Source organism: Homo sapiens, chromosome 1 (assembly GCF_000001405.40).
Source record: "Homo sapiens chromosome 1, GRCh38.p14 Primary Assembly".
Classification (NCBI taxonomy): Eukaryota; Metazoa; Chordata; class Mammalia; order Primates; family Hominidae; genus Homo; species Homo sapiens.
Genome location: NC_000001.11, coordinates 92,617,763 through 92,640,281, shown reverse-complemented (window position 1 = coordinate 92,640,281; position 22,519 = coordinate 92,617,763). Strand labels below are relative to the sequence as shown.

Here is a 22,519-nt window from a genome sequence, read left to right as displayed (position 1 = left end):
AGCTCTTTAATTAGATCCCATTTGTCAGTTTTGGCTTTTGTTACAATTGCTTTTGGTGTTTTAGACATGAAGTCTTTGCCCATGCCTATGTCCTGAATGGTATTGCCTAGGTTTTCTTCTAGGGTTTTTATGGTTTGGGGTTTTACATTTAAGTCTTCAATCCATCTTGAGTAAATTTTTGTATAACATGTGAGGAAGGGATCCGGTTTCAGTTTGCTGCATATGGCTAGCCAGTTTTCCAAGCACCATTTATTGAATAGGAGATCCTTTCCCCATTGCTTTTGTCGGGTTTGTTGAAGATCAGATGGTTGTAGAAGTACGGTGTTATTTCTCAGGTCTCTGTTTTGTTCCATTGGTTTATATGTCTTTTTGGTACCAGTACCATGCTGTTGGGTTACTGTAGCCTTGTAGTATAGTTTGAAGTCAGGTAGCGTGATGCCTCCAGCTTTGTTCTTTTTGCTTAGGATTGTCTTGGCTATACAGGCTCTTCTTTGGTTCCATATGAAATTTAAAGTAGTTTTTTTCTAATTCTGTGAAGAATGTCAATGGTAGTTTGATGGGAATAGCATTGAATCTATAATTACTTTGGGCAGCATGCACAATTTTTTATTTAGAGTTGTGATAAGTGTTACAAAAGAGATGAGAACAGGGTTCCATGAAATGTTTGGGTTCCTGAAAAGAGCATATAAATGTCATATCTTGAACTTAGTTAAAAGCTTAATGTATACTTAAATTCAAGCAATATTGGATACATTTGCATGGACAACCCTTTTTCTAATTTCAATTTTTTTTCACTTAATAATATGAGAAACTTCCCCCAATACAAATATTTACTTTTTACTGTATTACTCCTATTTCCTTCAAATATTGAAATTTTTTTTAATAATATGAGAAACTTCCCCCAATACAAATATTTACTTTTTACTGTATTACTCCTATTTCCTTCAAATATTGAAGATTTTTTTTTAAGCTCAAGACACAAGCAAAAAGGATTACTGAGGACTTTCTAACTTACCTTTACCTTTGTAATTTTTGCAACACCAGAAAAGCACATAGGATTGAAAAGCAGACTCTGCTTACTAAAAAGAATTTCTGTCAGTTTCATTGGAATGGGATTGCTGGTATCACAGAAACATTATGAGATTCATTTACATAAATTAACTTGATGTAAGTATAGAGAAGTCATCTGTCATTTCTATGCTTTTAAATAAACGGCTCCCCTTGCTGAGACTGCCAGCCATCATAATTGTGGCAGTTGTCATTTGGTAAAACAAATTGTGTGTCTGTCCAAGTTACTCACTTGAATATGAAATGCACTCTTCTAGGAATTTCTTAATACAAGAACATTATGTGAGATCTATATGCTTAGATTTTTTTTAGAGGTTTGGATTTTTTTAATATTATATAATTAATTTTTAGAACAGTATATATTAAAACAATATATTAAACTCTTCAACACCTATATGGCTTAAAGGTGAGGAACATGGGCTCTGTAATACAAACTGTCAATTAATAGCACTATCAACTGCTGTTTGACCTTGGTGTACCCTATTAGTTTCCTTATTAGTAAGACAGTAATTGTGGTGAAGGTTAAAGGAGAATATAAAGTGCTTAACATGTGTCTGGCACATAGTAAGTGGTGAGTAGATGTTAGCTGCTGTCATAATTGTCATTTCTGTCAAACATTAAAACATGTTTATAAAACTGTTTTCCCCCTGTGGAAAATAGAATAAATTGAAACTACAGTGGTTAGCTTCAGGTAATTTATAGTTCACAGCAGCATCTTTTCCTTAGACACTGTGTAATTTGCAGTATGTTAATTGGCCACCATCATGATGACCTGGGAATTATATTCTGTAAACTCTGTCAGTGGCAAAAAAATTTACATAATACGTTTAGAGTTATTTTAATCCAGAAGACTAAAATAATATGTTTTAGAGTATAAAAAGCATAAGATATATATTATCCAGAATGACTTGTTATCAGAGCATTTCAGCTCTCTGTAAATTTTATTAATAAAGATTTGTGCCCAACATTACTATAGCTTTTTGTACTTGATTGGATTAGTTGGTTTATGCCAATCAAGAATTCCATTCTCATATGGGCCTTTGAGTTTGATGTTTTCTTGGGGATCTTCTAATATAAAGTCTTTGCAAACAAACCTGTGCTACAGTTGCCAGGGCTTTAAGTTGAGGGCAAAAAAATTCTTCCAGTACCCACGAAATAACTGTGATCTAATTAAATAAATTATGGCACATCTAGTTTGGATGTGGTCATTCCAAAAGAATGCCTTTTTCCTAATTGATAAAAGGTAAGTATTTGCTAAGATGATGTGTCTGTTGCAGATGCACTTCTCGTATTGAAATATTGTTTCAATAGTATCAAAATTACTAGAAGAAATAATGTATAATGCATTGAATTAAAGTCCTCATTTGCACATCTTTTTTTGGTAACTGGGGCAGGAGAGTACCATGTATTAAGCATCTGGTTATTTTTAATAGTTTTGATTTGACATCTGTTTTGTTCCTAACATATTAAAGAGTAAAAATAACTGTGCTTTATTCATGCTAGTTCAGTAGAAGATTGTTTTTTATGACTTTATTTTGAAATTTTGAGTTGCCACATTTTCTTTACTACATAAATTAAATGTGAAGTGATAGACAATTTATTTTAGAAAGTATTTTATAATGATGAATTACATATTGCTTTTGTACAGAAGCTTTTCTATGGGCACTGGCTTAAAAATGACGACTTAAGTGTTTGCATCAATATTCATGTTTTATAGAGTAGGAAAGCAAATGGGAAAGTTGCGTGCTTCCGTGGTTAATTTCTTTGTGCAGCATCTGCGTCTTCTCTACTTCCAGCAATTATTTCTATGTATATCTTTTTTTTTTTTTTTTCTTGAGACAAGAGTCTTGCTCTGTCACCTGGGCTGGAGTACAGTGGCATGATCTTGGCTTACTGCAACCTCCACCTCCCGGGCTCAAGCCATTCTCCTGCCTCACACTCCCTAGTAGCGGGGATTACAGGCGTGTGCCACCATGCCCAGCTAATTTTTGTATTTTTAGTAGAGACAGGGTTTCACCACGTTGGCCAGGCTGATCTTGAACTCCTGGCCTCAAGTGATCCACCCGCCTCGGCCTCCCAAAGTGCTGGGAAACCATGCATATCTTTTGAAGAAGATTTCTACATTTCTAAGGACAAATACAATTTTGTTATTTTGGAATTTAGATGGTTCACATTATTGTAGGTACCCTGTTTTTTTTCTATTAGATTAAAATATATTTTTCAGTAATCTTTACATGTCTTCTGTAGTATATAACAGTACTATCAAATAGCAATATAATGTGTCACATATGCAATTTAAGATTTTCTAATACCCACATTAAAAGGAGCAAAAAAAGGTAAAATTAATATTTTTATTTACCTCAGTATATTCAAAATATTATTTTAATGTAATCAATATAAAAATCATTGAGATTTTTTTATTTCATATTAATTCTTCAAAATCCAGTTTGTATTTTATACTTATAACTTGTTTTAATCTGTATTAGCCACATTTCAAGTGTTCAGTAGCCACATGTGGCTAATTGCTATCCTATTTATTGTGCAGTGTAGGTCTGTAAAGTCAGAAAAAATTCTTTGTATCTGGATGGATGGACAGATAAAAGGAGATGTTTATCTTATATGAATCAGATTTGATCAGCGTAATAACTAGTTACCAAAACCCAATAATGTGGTCATCTTTATAGATATCAAAGGTGGGCTTTTTTACTCATTGGAGAAGTTAATTGGAGGAGATACATTGGAAATATTGGGTAGATGGAACTTCTCCTATTTAGTTGCCCTTAATGTAATATAACTGTATTATGTGGTTGCATTGTTTTTATTGTATATACATGTTTATACTTTCATGAAATTTCAGTGTATGTCTGTAACCTTTAGCATAAATGCAGTTCCAACTACAACGAAGATTTTGTGCTACAGCTAGAGAAGGAATTGGTCCAAGCCCGACTGAGTGAAGCTGAGTCTCAGTGTGCATTAAAAGAGATGCAGGATAAAGTCTTGGATATAGAGAAGGTAAGAAACCTACACAAATGCAGTCATTCCCAAATTAGAGGGGATATGTGATATTTATTAAGTACTTACTGAGCAATTTAATTGACTTGGTGTTTTTATACATTAGAAGCCTTACATATTAGTTACTAAGAGGAAAAGGAAAAAAAGATTTTTAAAATTGCCAGTTATTCCTTGTTGCCTTCATACTAATCACAGCCCCGTATTTAAGGATAAAAATGGAGATTAGAGCCCTTTTGGAGGAAAACGACCAGAATAATTTTCATAAAAAGAGTATCTAAATGTTGCAGAAGAGAGAAACTCAGGTGACAGAAATTAACTGTTATCATCAAATATTGCAATATTTTCATGTGGAAGAGATAGAATAGGACTAATACATAGACATTTCGGGAAAATTTCATCTGAGCGGGTGGAGCCAAGATAGCTGAATAGGAACAGCTCCTGTCTACAGCTCCCAGTGTGAGCGACGCAGAAGACGAATGATTTCTGCATTTCCAACTGCCGTACCAGGTGCATCTCATTGGGATTGTTGGACAGTGGGTGCAGGATAGTGGGTGTAGTGCACCGAGCCTGAGCCGCGAAGCGCAAGGGGTCAGGAAATTCCCTTTCCTAGCCAAGGAAAGGGGTGATGGACGGCACCTGGAAAATCGGGTCACTCGCACCCTAATACTGCGCTTTTCCGATGGTCTGAGCAAACAGCACACCAGGAGGTTATGTCCTGTGCCTGGCTCGGAGGGTCCTACGCTCACAGAGCCTCACTCATTACTAGCACAGCAGTCTGAGATCAAACTGCAAGGCGGCAGCGAGGCTGCAGCGGGGGCGCCTGCCATTGCCGAGGCTTGAGTAGGTAAACAACGCGGCCAGGAAGCTCCAACTGGGTGGAGCCCACTGCAGCTCAAGGAGGCCTGCCTGCCCCTGTAGACTCCACCTCGGGGGCAGGGCATAGCGAATCAAAAGTCAGCAGAAACCTCTGCAGACTTAAATGTCCCTGTCTGTCAGCTTTGAAGAGAGTAGTGGTTCTCCCAGCACGCAGCTTGAGATCTGAGAACCGACAGACTGCCTCCTCAAGTGGGGCCCTGACCCCCGAGTAGCCTAACTGGGAGGCACCCCCCAGTAGGGGCAGACTGACACCTCACACGGCCGGGTACCCCTCTGAGACAAAGCTTCCAGAGGAACGATCAGGCAGCAACATTTGCTGTTCACCAAATATCTGCTGTTCTGCAGCCTCCGCTGCTGATACACAGGCAAACAGGGTCTGGAGTGGACCTCCAGCAAACTCCAACAGACTTGCAGCTAAGGGTCCTGACTGGTAGAAGGAAAACTAACAAACAGAAAGGACATCCACACCAAAACCCCATCTGTACGTCACCACCATTGAAGACCAAACGTAGATAAAACCACAAAGATGGGGAAAAAACAGAGCAGAAAAACTGAAAATTCTAAAAAGCAGAGTGCCTCTTCTCCTCTAAAGGAACGCAGCTCCTCACCAGCACCGGAAAAAAGCTGAATGGAGAATGACTTTGACGAGTTGAGAGAAGAAGGCTTCAGACGACCAAACTACTCCGAGCTAAAGGAGGAAGTTCGAACCCATGGCAAAGAAGTTAAAGACCTTGAAAAAAGATTGGACAAATGGTTAACTAGAATAACCAATGCAGAGAAGTCCTTAAAGGACCTGATGGAGCTGAAAACCACGGCACGAGAACTACGTGACGAATGCACAAGCCTCAGTAGCCGATTCGATCAAGTGGAAGAAAGGGTATCAGCGATGGAATATCAAATGAATGAAATGAAGCGAGAAGAGAAGTTTGGAGAAAAAAGAATAAAAAGAAACGAAAAAAGTCTCCAAGAAATATGGGACTATGTGAAAAGACCAAATCTACGTCTGATTGGTGTACCTGAAAGTGACGGGGAGAATGGAACCAAGTTGGAAAACTCTGCAGGATATTATCCAGGAGAACTTCCCCAATCTAGCAAGGCAGGCCAACATTCAAATTCAGGAATTACAGAGAATACCACAAAGATACTCCTCAAGAAGAGCAACTCCAAGACACATAATTGTCAGATTCACCAAAGTTGAAATGAAGTTTTAGAAATGTTAAGGGCAGCCAGAGAGAAAGGTCGGGTTACCCACAAAGGGAAGCCCATCAGACTAACAGCTGATCTCTCAGCAGAAACTACAAGCCAGAAGAGAGTGGGGGCCAATATTCAACATTCTTAAAGAAAAGAATTTTCAACCCAGAATTTCATATCCAGCCAAACTAAGCTTCATAAGTGAAGGAGAAATAAAATCCTCCTCAGTCAAGCAAATGGTGAGAGATTTTGTCACCACCAGGCCTGCCCTAAAAGAGCTCCTGAAGGAAGCACTAAACATGGAAAGGAACAGCTGGTACCAGCCACTGCAAAAACATGCCAAATTGTAAAGACCATAGAGGCTAGGAAGAAACTGCTTCCACTAACGAGCAAAATATGCTCGTTATCAGCTAACATCATAATGTCAGGATCAAATTCACACATAACAATATTAACCTTAAATGTAAAGGGGCTAAATGCTCCAATTAAAAGACACAGACTGGCAAATTGGATAAAGAGTCAAGACCCATCAGTGTGCTGTATTCAGGAAACCCATCTCACATGCAAAGACACACACAGGCTCAAAATAAAGGGATGGAGGAAGATCTACCAAGCAAATGGAAAACAAAAAAAGGCAGGGGTTGCAATCCTAGTCTCTGATAAAACAGACTTTAAACCAACAAAGATCAAAAGAGACAAAGAAGGCCATTACATAATGGTAAAGGGATCAATTCAACAAGAAGAGCTAACTATCCTAAATATATGTGCACCTAATACAGGAGCAACCGATTCATAAAGCAAGTCCTTAGAGAGCTACAAAGAGACTTAGACTCCCACACAATAATAATGGGAGACTTTAACACCCCACTGTCAACATTAGACAGATCAGTGAGACAGAAAGTTAACAAGGTTATCCAGGAATTGAACTCAGCTCTGCACGAAGTGGACCTAATAGACATCTACAGAACTCTCCACCCCAAATCAACAGAATATACATTCTTTCAGCAGCACACAACACCTACTCCAAAATTGACCACGTAGTTGGAAGTAAAGCACTCCTCAGCGAATGTAAAAGAACAGAAATTATAACAAACTGTGTCTCAAACCACAGTGCAATCAAACTAGAACTCAGGATTAAGAAACTCACTCAAAACCGATCAACTGCATGGAAACTGAACAACCTGCTCCTGAATGACTACTGGGTACATAACAAAATGAAGGCAGAAATAAAGATGTCCTTTGAAACCAATGAGGACAAAGACACAGCATACCAGAATCTCTGGGACACATTCAAAGCAGTGTGTAGAGGGAAATTTATGGCACTAAATGCCCACAAGAGAAAGCAGGAAAGATCTAAAATTGACACCCTAACATCACAATTAAAAGAACTAGAGAAGCAAGAGCAAACACATTCAAAAACTAGCAGAAGGCAAGAAATAACTAAGATCGGAGCAGAACTGAAGGAAATAGAGACATAAAAAGCCCTTCAAAAAATCAATGAATCCAGGAGCTGGTTTTTTGAAAAGATCAACAAAATAGACCGCTAGCAAGACTAATAAAGAAGAAAAGAGAGAATAATCAAATAGACGCAATAAAAAATGATAAAGGGGATATCACCAACTATCCCACAGAAATACAAACTACCATCAGAGCATACTATAAACATCTCTATGCAAATTAGAAAATCTGGAAGTAATGGATAAATTCCTCGACACATACACCTTCCCAAGACTAAACCAGGAAGAAGTTGAATCTCTGAATAGACCAATAACAGGCTCTGAAATTGAGGCAATAATTAATAGCTTACCAACCAAAAAAAGTCCAGGACCAGATGGATTCACAGCCAAATTCTACCAGAGGTACAAGGAGGAGCTGGTACCATACCTACTGAAACTATTCCAATCAATAGAAAAAGAGGGAATCCTCCCTAACTCATTTTATGAGGCCAGCATCATCCTGATACCAAAGGTTGGCAGAGACACAATGAAAAAAAGAGAATTTTAGACCAATATCCCTGATGAACATCAATGTGAAAATCCTCAATAAAATACTGGCAAACCGAATCCAGCAGCACATCAAAAAGCTTATCCACCATGATCAAGTGGGCTTCATCCCTGGGATGCAAGGCTGGTTCAACATAGCAAATCAATAAATGTAATCCAGCATATAAACAGAACCAATGACAGAAACCACATAATTATCTCAATAGATGCAGAAAAGGCCTTTGACAAAATTCAGCAGCCCTTCATGCCAAAAACTCTCAATAAATTAGGTATCAATGGGACGTATCTCAAAATCATAAGAGCTGTTTATGACAAACCCACAGCCAATATCATACTGAATGGGCAAAAACTGGAAGCATTCCCTTTGAAAACGGGCACAAGACAGGGATGCCCTCTCTCACCACTGCTATTCAACATAGTGTTGGAAGTTCTGGCCAGGGCAATCAGGCAGGAGAAGGAAATAAAGGGTATTCCATTAGGAAAAGAGGAAGTCAAATTGTCCCTGTTTGCAGATGACATGATGGTATATCTAGAAAATCCCATCATCTCAGCCCAGAATCTCCTTAAGCTGATAAGCAACTTCAGCAAAGTCTCAGGATACAAAATCAGTGTGCAAAAACCACAAGCATTCTTATACACCAATAACAGACAAACAGAGAGCCAAATCATGAGTGAATTCCCATTCACAATTGCTTCAAAGAGAATAAAATACCTGGGAATCCAACTTACAAGGGATGTGAAGGACCTCTTCAAGGAGAACTACAAACCACTGCTCAATGAAATAAAAGAGGATACAAAGAGATGGAATAACATTCCATGCTCATGGGTAGGAAGAATCAATATTGTGAAAATGGCCATACTGCCCAAGGTAATTTATAGATTCAATGCCATCCCCATCAAGCTACCAATGACTTTCTTCACAGAATTGGAAAAAACTACTTTAAAGTTCATATGGAACCAAAAAAGAGCCTGCATTGCCAAGTCAATCCTAAGCCAAAAGAACAAAGCTGGAGGCATCACACTACCTGACTTCAAACTATACTACAAGGCTACAGTAACCAAAACAGCATGGTACTGGTACCAAAACAGAGATATAGATCAATGGAACAGAACAGACCAATGGAACAGCCCTCAGAAATAATCCCACATATCTACAACTATCTGATCTTTGACAAACCTGAGAAAAACAAGCAATGGGGAAAGGATTCCCTATTTAATAAATGGTGCTGGGAAAACTGGCTAGCCATATATAGAAAGCTGAAACTGGATCCCTTCCTTACACCTTATACAAAAATTAATTCAAGATGGATTAAAGATTTAAATGTTAGACCTAAAACCATAAAAACCCTAGAAGAAAACCTAGGCAGTATCATTTAGGACATAGGCGTGGGCAAGGACTTCATGTCTAAAACACCAAAAGCAATGGCAACAAAAGCCAAAATTGACAAATGGGATCTAATTAAACTAAAGAGCTTCTGCACAGCAAAAGAAACTACCATCAGAGTGAACAGGCAACCTACAGAATGGGAGAAAATTTTTGCAATCTACTTATCTGACGAAGGGCTAATATCCAGAATCTACAATGAACTCAAACAAATTTACAAGAAAAAAACAAACAACCCCATCAACAAGTGGGTGAAGGATATGAACAGACACTTCTCAAAAGAAGACACTTATGCAGCCAAAAGACACATGAAAAAATGCTCATCATCACTGGCCATCAGAGAAATGCAAATCAAAACCACAATGAGATACCATCTCATACCAGTTAGAATGGTGATCATTAAAAAGTCAGGAAACAACAGGTCCTGGAGAGGATGTGGAGAAATAGGAACACTTTTACGCTGTTGGTGGGACTGTAAACTAGTTCAACCATTGTGGAAGTCAGTGTGGCGATTCCTCAGGGATCTAGAACTAGAAATACCATTTGACCCAGCCATCCCATTACTGGGTATATACCCAAAGGATTATAAATCATGCTGCTATAAGGACACATGCACACGTATGTTTCTTGTGGCACTATTCACAATAGCAAAGACTTGGAACCAATCCAAATGTCCAACAATGATAGACTGGATTAAGAAAATGTGGCACATATACACCATGGAATACTATGCAGCCATTAAAAAGGATGAGTTCCATATCCTTTGTAGGGACGTGGATGAAGCTGGAAACCATCATTCTCAGCAAACTATCACAAGGACAAAATACCAAACACCACATGTTCTCACTCATAGGTGGGAATTGAACAATGGGAACACATGGACACAGGAAGGGGAACATCGCACCCTGGGGCCTGTTTTGGGGTGGGGGGAGGGTGGAGGGATAGCATTAGGAGATATACCTAATGTTAAATGACGAGTTAATGGGTGCAGCACACCAACATGGCACATGTATGTATATTTAACAAACCTGCACATTGTGCACATGTACCCTAAAACTTAAAGTATAATAAAAGAAAAAAAGAAAAAAAAAGAAAATTTCATCTGAGTGTAGTTGTTAGAACTGTCCAATCTAGAACAAGTTACCTCAGGATATGTAGGAAGTTCCTTTTAGCCTGAATGTACTTACAGAAGCTAACTTCTTTTCAAGGATATTAAAGAACATCAAAGATGAGATAAGTAATGGGAGTAGAAGAACTTCAGGTTTCTTATAGCTTTCAGATTTAAAAGTTCTAGATTACAAACTCCAAATCTCTTGTTTCCTTATCTGTAAATTTATTGGTGGCCTGGGCTCTGTGTCGTTTGTTCCTTTTTACTCTTAGGTAATAGCTACCTACTGAATCCAAAAACCTGATAGATAATGGACATAACAGTCTCAGGTGTTTTTAACTATTTTCTTAATGAAACAGAACAAGTGTAACTAGAATCAGTAATGGAATAATTTTGCTAGAAAGCTCCTTCCTATTTTTATATTTCTGGATAATGTATTATCTCGATTTGTTGAGAAAAAAAGCCAGCAAGAATGCTGAAAGAAATGGCTAACAGAATATTTGGTCTTTAACTTAGGCGTATTCTGGGTTACATGATTTAGAGCAGAATCTGTGTCTTACAATTAGAAAGATTTTGAATATTTGATAGAAGTGTATTTGGGTTCCATTCAAAAATGGATTTCGTAAGTGGCTGTGTTGTTTTTCATGTTATAAAGTAGAAAGGAATTTGAAAGGTAGCATGCTTCCTATGGTAATTTCTTCCTGCAGCATCCTCTTTTTTTCTGCTTCCAGCAGTCTTTTAAATGAATATGCAGTAAATTTTTGGTTTTCAATTGAGAAAATATTTAAAGTCCATTATAAGAAAGTGTAATTGGTGAGAATAACTTCATTCCATCATCCCTATGAGCAAAAATTTGCATGTGTACCGTGAAATATTTAGAGATAGAAAATTTCATAGAATCAGGCCTTGAAATCTCAGTGTTACCTCAGTTTACCTTTTTATCTAGGGAGCTTTCCCTACGGCCTCATTTTGGATCTCTTGGTAACTCTCCAGAGAAGTTTGATACTGGGCTACCCTGTATCCTTTTTATCTTTTAATATGGTGGGAAATTGATCTAAGTCTTGTATCCGTGTGCTGGGATAATTGGCTAGCCACATGTAGGAGAATGAAACTGGATCCTCTTCTCTCACGTTATACAAAAATCAACTTAAGAGATGGATTAAGGACTTAAACCTAAGACCTGAAACTATAAAAATTCTAGAAGATAACATTGGAAAAACCCTTCTAGACGTTTGCTTAGGCAAGGATTTCATGACCAAGAACCCAAAATCAAATGCAATTAGAACAAAGATAAATAGCTGGGACCTAATTAAACTGAGGAGCTTTTGCACGGAGAAAGGAACAGTCAGCAGAGTGAACAGACAACCCACAGAGTGGGAGAAAATCTTCACAATCTATACATGTGACAAAGGACTAATATCCAGAATCTACAACGAACTCAAATCAGTAAGACGAAAACAATCTCATCAAAAAGTGGGCTAAGGACATGAATAGACAATTCTCAAAAGAAGATATACAAATGGCCAACAAACATGAAAATGTACTAAACATCGGCTGGGTGCGGTGGCTCACGCCTGTAATCCCAGCCCTTTGGGAGGCCGAGGTTGGTGGATCACAAGGTCAGGAGTTCAAGAGCAGCCTGGCCAAGATAATGAAACCTTGTCTCTACTAAAAATACAAAAAATTAGCCAGGCATGGTGGCCGGCGCCTGTAATCCCAGCTACTCGGGAGGCTGAGGCAGAGAATTGCTTGAACCCGGGAGGCAGAAGTTGCAGTGAGCCGAGATTGTGCCATTGCGCTCCAGCCTGGGCGACAGAGCAAGACTCCGTTTCAAAAAAAAAAAGAAAAAATACTAAACATCACTAATGATCAGGGAAATGCAAATCAAAACCACAATGTAATACCATCTTACTTCCACAAGATTAGCCATAATCAAAAAATCAAAAAACAGTAGATGTTGGCGTGGATGCAATGAACAGGGAACACTTCTGCACTGCTAGTGGGAATGTAAACTAGTACTGCCACTATGGAAAACAGTGTGGAGATTCCTTAAAGAACTAAAAGTAGAAGTACCATTTGATCCAGCAATCCCACTACTGGGTATCTGTCTACCCAGAGGGAAGAAAAGGTCATTATTTGAAAAAGATACTTGCACACGCATGTTTATAGCAGCACAATTCACAATTGCAAAATCGTGGAACCAACTCAAATGCCCATCAATCAACAAGTGGATAAAGAAACTGTGGTGTATATATGTATATATATGATGGAATACTACTTAGCCATAAAAAGGAACGAATTAACAGCATTTGCAGTGTCCTGGATGAGATTGGAGACTATTATTCTAAGTGAAGTAACTCAGGAATGGAAAACCAAGCATCGTATGTTCTCACTGATATGTGGGAGCTAAGCTAGGAGGATGCAAAGGCATAAGAATAATTCAGTGGACTTTGAGGACTTGTGGGGAAGAGTGGGAGGGGAGTGAGGGATAGAAGACTACAAATAAGGTGCAGTGTATACTGCTTGGGTGATGGGTACACCAAAATCTCACAAATCACCACTAAAGAACTTACTCATGTAACCAAATACCACCTGTACCCCAATAACTTACGGAAAAATATAAATAAACCTTGTATCCATGAATCAAGTTAATTTCAGTCATTTCATTTGAATCAATTGGTAAATTGTTTAATTTGTATTAATTTCTTGACTGTTGATGTAAATAGTGACTAATACACAGAGATTTGATGCCTCTCAAAAATAACATGCTGAGGAAATACAACAAAAACAGATTTTGGACTACTATTTTCTATGAATATTTAAAAAGTAAATGATGTTCATGCTTTATCTGGAGTCCTGATCAGAAGTTAGTAAGTTTATTGCCATATTGAAAAAAATTTTAATCCTGTTGCTCCGTAACTCTGATTAGTATTTTATTAACAAATCAGAGTTAGATTTCTGTGTTCTCAAAATTAAGTGCAGTTCCCCTCATACATTGCTAGTGAAAATGAAAAGCAGTACAGCTGCTTTGGAAAAGTTTGGCAGTTTCTTAAAAGTTAAACATAGAACAATTACCATCTGAGCCAGCAGTTCTACTCCTAAGTATATCTTAAGAACATGGAAAGCCTAAGTCTACACAAAAACTTTTGCACCAATGTTCATAGCAACATTATAATAGTCAAAAAGTGGAAACAACCCAAATTTCTATTAACTGATGAATAAATAGATTAAATGTGGTATATCTATACAGTGGAATATCATTTGGCATAAAAAAAAGATTGAACCTTGAAAACATTGTTCTAAGTGAAGTAAGGTTGTCACAGAAAGCTATAAATACATATGATTCCACTTATAAGAAATGTCCAGGTAGACAAACTCATGGAAACAAAAAGTAGATTGGTGGTTGCCAGGGGATGGGGAAGTGGGGAATGTAGAATGACTGGTGATGAGTATAGGTTTTCTTTTTTGCATGATAAAAATATTCTGAAATTAGGTCATGGTGATGTTTAAACAACCCTGTAAATACTCTAAAAACCACTGGCTCTTGTGTATTTTAAAAGGGTGAGTTTCATAGTTTGTGAATTATATTTCAGTATAGCTGTATAAAATTAAATACATTTAAGTGTGGAACACAATAGCTGTTGTGTGTGCTGTATTTTATTCCTTAAATTTAAAAATCCCAAATTAAATTTTCTTCTTCTTTAGAGGAATAACTCCCTTCCTGATGAGAATAATATTGCAAGGCTTCAGGAAGAACTCATTGCTGTGAAACTTAGAGAAGCAGAAGCCATTATGGGTTTGAAAGAACTTAGACAGCAAGTCAAGGATTTAGAGGAACACTGGCAGGTATATTAATATATTTTGTGTGCTTTTTTAAAAGAGAGTAAAACCGAAATATCCAATTTGTAAGAGTTTGAAGTACCTGATGACCTATAGTAGATGAGTTTAAAGTGAGAGAGACCCTGTTTAATGTCAAAATTGAGAGTATTTATAAACTGAAAGTGCACTTAAGCTGTTTCTCCCTCTTTAATTCTTATAATAAAATAAAAGATACAGTAGACATCAGATAATATTTTTGTCATTGTACCATTGTGCCTTGTGTAACTTTTTCTGCAAACTGTGAAAGTGTTCTATATAATACATATTTTGTCTTAAACTTTGATATTAAGTCCATTGTTGGTTAGTGTGAAACACCAGAAGGGTGACAACATTATAAATTTAATGTATAAATTAGTAACTTAGTTACCTCACCAGATAAATGACATTTATCTGGTATGTGACCACAAATTTATTCATGTATGAGGGAAATGTTGACAAGGAACAAAATACATATTCTATATAAGGACCGAAATTAGGCCTTGACATTGTCATGCCTTTTTTTAAAACATGTTTTGACAAAGTATCAGATTGCAATAAACTTGAAATTTTAAAACAAAAAAGACAAAACTTGTCTTTTATCACAGATATTTTGAGAAACACTGCCCTTAACTTCTAACATTCCTTCCTTAATGGCCCCATTTTTTTTCTAATGTATTGGGATTTCATTGAAGATAATATGAAAAATCTCTCATTAAAAAAATTACAGTGAAAATTGTAATCTTTTCAAGAATTAATCCTCAGTATATAGAGAAAAAATTTGAACTGTATTTGAGTTTATATCCCAGATCTGCACTGGCTGTGTGTGATCCTCCTAAAGTTACTTAATCACAGTGTTCATTTTCTTACCTGTGAAAAGCCAAAAATGTTTCCACACACATTGCCAAATGTCCCCTGGCGGGGCAAAATTGCCCCAGTTGGGAACCAATAATGGCAATAATGTGAATGATGCTTCCTAAAGTTGTTTAATATGGTGACCCTAGGCAGTGAATTCTAAAATTGCCTGTCTTTCTTCTCAGGTCTCTCTTTTCTCCAATAAATTCTTTTTTTTTTTTTTTTTTTTTTTTTTTTTTTGAAGTAGAGACTAGAGACAGGGTTTCAACATGTTGGCCAGGCTGATCTCAAACTCCTGACCTCAGGTGATCTGCCCGCCTTGGCCTCCCAAAGTGCTGGGATTACAGGTGTGAGAGCCACTGCGCCTGGCCAATAAATTCTATCTTAAATATACTTAAGATCTGCAAAGGTCTTTTTATGAAACCCTTTTATTCAGATGATAATAGTGCCTGATTAATAGGATTTTCTAGGGATTAAATAAAATAATGTGTGGAAAGTGTTTTATATATCACAGGCCTGAAATAAGCGCTCAGTAATATTAGCTCTTATTTTGATACTGAGAGTATTTGTTGCAATATAATTTTTTATGCTTTAGCGCCACTTAGCTCGTACTACTGGGAGATGGAAAGACCCACCCAAGAAAAATGCTATGAATGAGTTACAAGATGAACTGATGACCATTCGACTTAGAGAAGCTGAAACACAAGCAGAAATAAGAGAAATAAAACAAAGGATGATGGAAATGGAAACACAGGTATGATGGGAAAGCCCAGTATCTTTAAAAAGTATCATTAGCTGATCAAGGGTTTGTGCACAGATTGTATCATCCCTAGAACAGAGATAAAAGGTAAAGATATGAAGCTGTATAGACCGCAGTTTTCTAGCCCAAATGAAGATGGCAAAAAATTATTATATTGGATTTCAGAGATTTAATCCTTCTTTGACCCATTCAACAAAGTTCAAGGAAGTCAAATTTTATTTGACTTTTTTGGGTAAAACTCATAGCATTGCCCTGTTGCATGACTTGAGAAGGAACACCATGCAGAGCAAAATTTCTCAACCTCAACACTTTTAACATTTTTGGCTAGAAGATACTTTGTTTTACGGAGCTGGTCCATGCGTTGTAGATGTTTAGCAGCATCCCTGGCCTCTACCCACTAGATGCCAGTAACGGCTCTCCTACCTCAGGTTGCGATGACCAAAAATGTTTCTGCACACATTGCCAAATGTCCCCTGGGGGACAAAATTGCCCCAATTGGGAACCACAGATGTATACTATAATGTGAATGATGCTTCCTAAAGTTGTTTAATGTGGTGACCCTGGGCAGTGAATTCAAAATTGCCCTTCTTTCTTCTCAGGTCTCTCTTTTCTCCAATAAATTCTATCTTAAATATACTTAAGATCTGCAAAGGTCTTTTTATGAAACCCATTTGCATGGTAAAGGCACATTTGGTTTTCATGTGGTACATTTGTTTGGACCATATTCTTATACTCTGTGAATGTTGTTTTTTGGCTTTTAAAGTATTTATTCAGTCAGTAGGGGGCATACTTAACTCATACATCATTCTGTATTCCAGTGCAAAATGATCATAATCTCAAACATGGTAACATGAATATGTAATTTCTTCAGAATAAATATATCTTGTTTTACATTGTTCAAAGTTATTTTCTTATATTTTTCTTGTATTATTCTATATAAAATACTTTCCACACGTTATTTTATTCAGTATAATTAAAATAGGAAGAGGTACTATTGAGATTATGAATAGTAGAAATCTTAAGTTTTACAATGGGAAGTTTTATTTTTGTAATCAGATTTTATTTTAGTATAGATACTAAAGATGAAAACACAGCTTTTAAGCCATTGTTGAGGATTTATTTCACAGTGGGTAGAGGTGAATAAATCAAATCCAGTAGACATGATTTTGAGAACTTGTGAAACACAAAGCACTGTCTCAGCCATTAAAGGACTTACACTTGAGAAATCAGGTATGCATAGACTATATTTAATATAATTCAGAAATTTGGTAAGTAGAGAGTTAGATAGGAATTGCTACGGAGACTAGGCGGGGAAAATTAATTTCAACTAGGTGGTTTGGAGAAAGATTTCCTAAGGAATTTGTATTGTGCTTAATACCATTGCTGACTAATAAGTGTGATTTTGGATGGATTTTGCTGGAAGCAGGATGGTAATAGGCACTGGTTCCTAAATGCCAGTATTTGGACTGGTGGTAATCCATGAAATTTTTACATTGATAAATGAAAAATAAATAAATAAAAATAGTATAGGGTAATGGTGGTGGTGTGTAGTAATCTAAAGATTATTGTATCAAACACCCATGTATTTAGATTAAGAAATTTGTCCATGTTTATACATGTAACTCCAGTTCTGTCATTTTAAGGACTTTTAGAAAAGTCTGTCAGTGACTATACCTCAATTTATTGATCCACTCTCCTTTTTGCTCTTGCAAACAGTGCTACTCTGAACATTCTTGCTTATGTTTCCTTGTGTATATCTTCAAGAGTTTCTTAAGTACAAAGGTTCTTACCGTTTTTGTGTTTGTGTCTGCTATCAACACTGTTGGCAGTCTGGAACCTGTGGACCCCTTCTTAAAATAATATTTTTTAATGCGTAAAACCAAGTACAAAGGATTGCAAAGGAAGCCACTTCTACTGAGGTACAGTTATCAAAATACTAAAAACATGTTTGTGCTGTAGATCACATAGAGATACAACACATTCCCATTGCTAGATTCAGGTTTTTAATATTTTAGATTTAGATTTCTTTTTTTTTTTAATTTTTATTTTTTAGACGGAGCCTTGCTTTGTCGCCCAGGCTGGAGTGCAGTGGCCAGATCTCAGCTCAGTGCAACCTCTGCCTCCCGGGTTCAAGCTATTCTCCTCCTCAGCCTCCCAAGTAGCTGGGATTACAGGCGCCCACTACCACGCCTGGCTAATTTTTGTATTTTTGGTAGAGACGGGGTTTCACCATGTTGGCCAGGCTAGTCTTGAACTCCTGACCTTGTGATCCACCCACCTTGGCCTCCCAAAGTGCTGGGATTACAGGCGTGAGCCACCGTGCCCTGCCTTGATTTAGATTTCTTAAGATAAATTGTACTACATTTTTTCCCATCTTAATTTCAGTTTATGTGTTTATATCTCTGATAAACAACATATAGATGGGTACTTTTTAAAATGCAGTCTGATAAATGATTGTTCAACTCTCAATAGGCTAAAAACCACTGAATATATGTACACTTGAGGGAGGTCAATTTTATAATGTGTGAACTGTATCTCAATAAAGCTATAAAAACTGGCTGGGTGCAGTAGCTCACGCATGTAATCCCAACATTTTGGGAGGCCAAGGCAGGTGGATCACCTGAGATCAGGAGTTTGAGACCAGCCTGGCCAACACGGTGAAACCCCATCTCTACTAAAAATACAAAAAAATTATCCAGGTGTGGTGGCACATGCCTGTAGTCCCAGCTATTCGGGAGGCTGAGGCAGGAGAATCGGTTGAACCCGGTAGGTGGAGGTTGCAGCAGTGAGCCAAGATCACGCCACTGCACTCCAGCCTGGGTGACGGAGCAAGACTCCATCTCAAAGAAAAACAAAAAACTAAAAACAATTTAGTCTCATAGTTTCTTTTGCTGTCAAGTTTGGTCTCAGTTTTGTAATTTTACTTGGATTGATATCTGTCACCTTGCTAGCTATTTTGTTTATTCCATCTGTTCTTTGTTTCTTTGTTTCTTTTTTTCTACCTTCTCTTGGATTTATTAGATATTTATTGTGATTCCATTTTTATCTTCACATTTGACTTATTTATTTATACATCTTTCAAGAGTTTTTTTAGTGGTTGTTCCAGGTTTTACAATAAATAGAGTTTACCTTCAAATAATAAATTATAAATAATAATAAATGAATAAATAACTATACACTTCATGTGTAATCTAAGGCTCTTACAACAGTGTGTTTTCAAATCTTTCTACCTCTTTTGTGAAATTGTCATACATTTTACATATTGTCCAAATATATATGCTACTAATTTTGCATTAAAGTTTTCTTTCATAGAAATTGAAAAACTTTTAATGAAATGTGTTTTTCCTTCAAGATATTCTGTTTCAGCACTCTTTCTTTGTGCAGATCCATGTTTCTGTCTGGTATCTTATCTTTTCTGCTTTAAGAAGTTCTTTTATCATTTCCTTTAGTGCTGGTTTTTGTTTGATAAAATGTTTATTTCTTCAATTTTAAAAGATATATTTGCAGGATATTGAATTCTGCCTTGACAGTTTTTTTCTTTTAACACTTTAAATCACTCTGCTATCTTCTTGTCAGAAACCATGCCAGCCAGGATTCTGTTGTAATTCTTATTTTTGTTCCTCAACATGTAATGTATTTTTTCCTCTGGTTGCCTTCAAGCTTTTCTCTTTGTTTGTAGCAGGTCGAATATGATATACCCAGATCTGGGTTTTTTTTTCTCTCTTTTTTTTTTTTCTCTGAGTTTCTTTGATTTATAGATTTGTGTATGCCACAAATTTTGGAAACTTCTTGGTTGTTATTTCTTTCTTTTTTTTTTTTTTTTGAGATGGAGTTTCACTCTTGTTGCCCAGGCTGGAGTGCAATGGTGTGATCTCAGCTCACCACAACCTCAGCCACCTGGGTTCAAGCCATGATCCCCTGCCTCAGCCTCCTAAGTAACTGGGATTACAGGCATGTGCCACCACACCTGGCTAATTTTGTATTCTTAGTAGAGACGGGGTTTCTCCATGTTGGTCAGGCTGTTCTCAAACTTCCGACTTCAGGTGATCCGCCCGTCTCGGCCTCCCAAAGTTCTAGGATTATAGGCGTGAGCCAGCACGCCCGGCCCTTGGTTGTTATTTCTTCAAGTATTTCTTCTCATGCTCCCTTCTTGAGGGGTTTCAATTATACATGTGTTAGATTGTTCAAGGTTGTCTAACAACTCTTGGTTGCTCTGTTCGTTTTGCCCCTATCATTTTTCTCTGTGTTTTCAGTTTCCATTGACTAAAACATTTTTACCGACAAATTATTAAGTTCACTCATTCTTTCCATTGCTTTGTCAAGTTGTTTGATGAGCCAACTGAAGGTATTCTTTACGTCTGTTACTGTTTTTCATTTCTAGCTTTTCTTTAACAAAAAAAAAATTTTTTTTTTTTCAAAGAGAAAAGGTCTCACTGTGTTGCCCAGGTCTCGAACTCCTGAGCCCAAGTGATCCTCCCATCTCAGCCTCCCCAAAGTGCTAGGATTACAGTCACGAGCCACTGTGCCCAGCTCATCTCTAGCTTTTCTTTTTGACTCATAGTTTTCATTTTTCTGCTATTACCTATCTAATTTTATGTTTTTCACCTTTCCCTTAGAGCCTTTAGCATATTAATCACAGTTATTTTAAATTCTCTGTCAGATGTTGTATTAGTCAGGGTTCTCTAGAGGGGCAGAACTAATAGGATATATATATATATATATATGGGAGTTTATTTCAAGTATTAACTTACATGATCACAAGGTCCCACAATAGGCTGCCTACAAGCTGAGGAGCAAGAAGTGCCAGTCAAAGTCCCAAAACGGAAGAGCTTGAAGTCCAGTGTTCAAGGACAGGAAGCATCCAGGATGGGGGAAAGATATAGGCTGGGCCAGTCTCTCCTTTTCACATTTTTCTGCCTGCTTTATATTCACTGGCAGCTGATTAGATTGTGCCCATCAGCTAAGGGTGGATCTGCCTACCCCAGCCCACTGACTCAAATGTTAATCTCTTTTGGCAACACCCTCACAGACACATCCGGGATCAGTACTTTGTATTGATCTTGGATACTAACTCAGTATTAACCATCACAAGTCCACCCCTTGTCAGCTTGAACTTGAACCTATGCACATCTCCTGAGATCATACATAATCTTCAAATAAAGACAATAATGAGGTAATAATTATGCCTAACATAATACAACTATCCTTTGTACACCTGGAAACACACCAATCCCTGACTCAAATACTATTACATAAAGTTAACAGTACTTAAATGCTGATATGAAGTCAATAAATCTTATGTCACATGATAAAATATATTTTCTTAGTACAAATGTATACATACACAAACATGATTTTAACAAAAGAAGGAGGAAATACTCATGACAATTACAGTCCTTGTTTCTGCAGCTGGTCACGTAGTGGTATCTGGTATTAATGACTAACCTTCCGTTACCCATTCTGTATTCCCTTTGCCTTCAGCAAGCACCTCAGCAGGTCATGTTTTTTTTCCTGGTGGAGTGACCCAAACCTTCATTCCTGAGGGGTCTGGGCCATCTGTAGTCCTGCCTGGATTGGGATGTTGTAGTTTCCCATTGACCTTAATCACAGGGCATGGTAATACTAAGATGCCCTGATGGATCTCCTGTATTCCATGCATACTCTTCTTTACCTCCGTTGTGGATTAGCAGACTGATTTCATCTTGATAGTCCGGGTCAGTCATCCCAGCCAACACTGTAATTCCCTTCTTAGCTTGTTGACTTAAAGGTAGGAACAGCCCGAAGTGTCCAGGTGGCAATCTTAACTTGCAGTTTAATGGAGTCGTTGTTGTGTCTTCTGGTGGTAGCGTTCCTCCCTCTGGAACTAAGACCTCTAGGCCAGCAGAATTAATGTTGAGGGAATAGGAAGCAAAAATTTTGCTAGTGGGTCACTAGGGGTGATGGTGAGTGGTGCCACTTGCACTTCCACCCCTTGATTCCTGGACCCGTGAATCGTGGCTATGGGAGAAACAGTACCATATGTTGGATGCTGATTCAGAGCATACATGGCCTTCTGGAGAACTTTGCCCCAGCCCTGCAAAGTATTGTCACCTAGTTGACATTGTAATTGTGACTTCAAAAGCCCATTCCACCATTCTATCCATCCAGCTGCTTTAGGATGATGGGGAACATGGTAAGACCAGTGAATTCCATGAACGTGAGCCTACTGCAACACTTCTTTGGCCATAAAGTGAGTGCCTTAGTCAGAGGCAATGCTGTGTGGAATACCATGATGGTGTTTAAGGTATTCCGTGAGTGCACAGATGGTGGTCTTGGCAGAAGCATTACATGCAGGATAGGTAAACCCATATCCAGAGTAAGTGTCTATTCCAGTGAGGACAAACCTCTGCCCTTTCCATGATGGAAAA

At 37.6% G+C, this 22,519-nt stretch overlaps 1 protein-coding gene across 28 annotated transcripts in view; it reads left to right on the top strand.

The window, feature by feature from the left end:
• The window catches only part of EVI5 (ecotropic viral integration site 5), a 283,715-nt gene that overhangs the window by 152,129 nt on the left and 109,067 nt on the right, over window positions 1–22,519 (top strand). For 26 of the 28 annotated variants that reach the window (NM_005665.6, NM_001308248.2, NM_001377212.1 and 23 more), the window contains 3 exons: window positions 3,946–4,080; window positions 14,348–14,488; window positions 15,948–16,106. In NM_005665.6, coding sequence (NP_005656.4) covers window positions 3,946–4,080; window positions 14,348–14,488; window positions 15,948–16,106 — 435 coding nt within the window. Of the gene's footprint in view, window positions 1–1,044; window positions 1,168–3,945; window positions 4,081–14,347; window positions 14,489–15,947; window positions 16,107–22,519 lie in introns of those variants that run through there. The other 2 variants (NM_001377211.1, XR_001737401.2) reach the window with 2 other exon arrangements.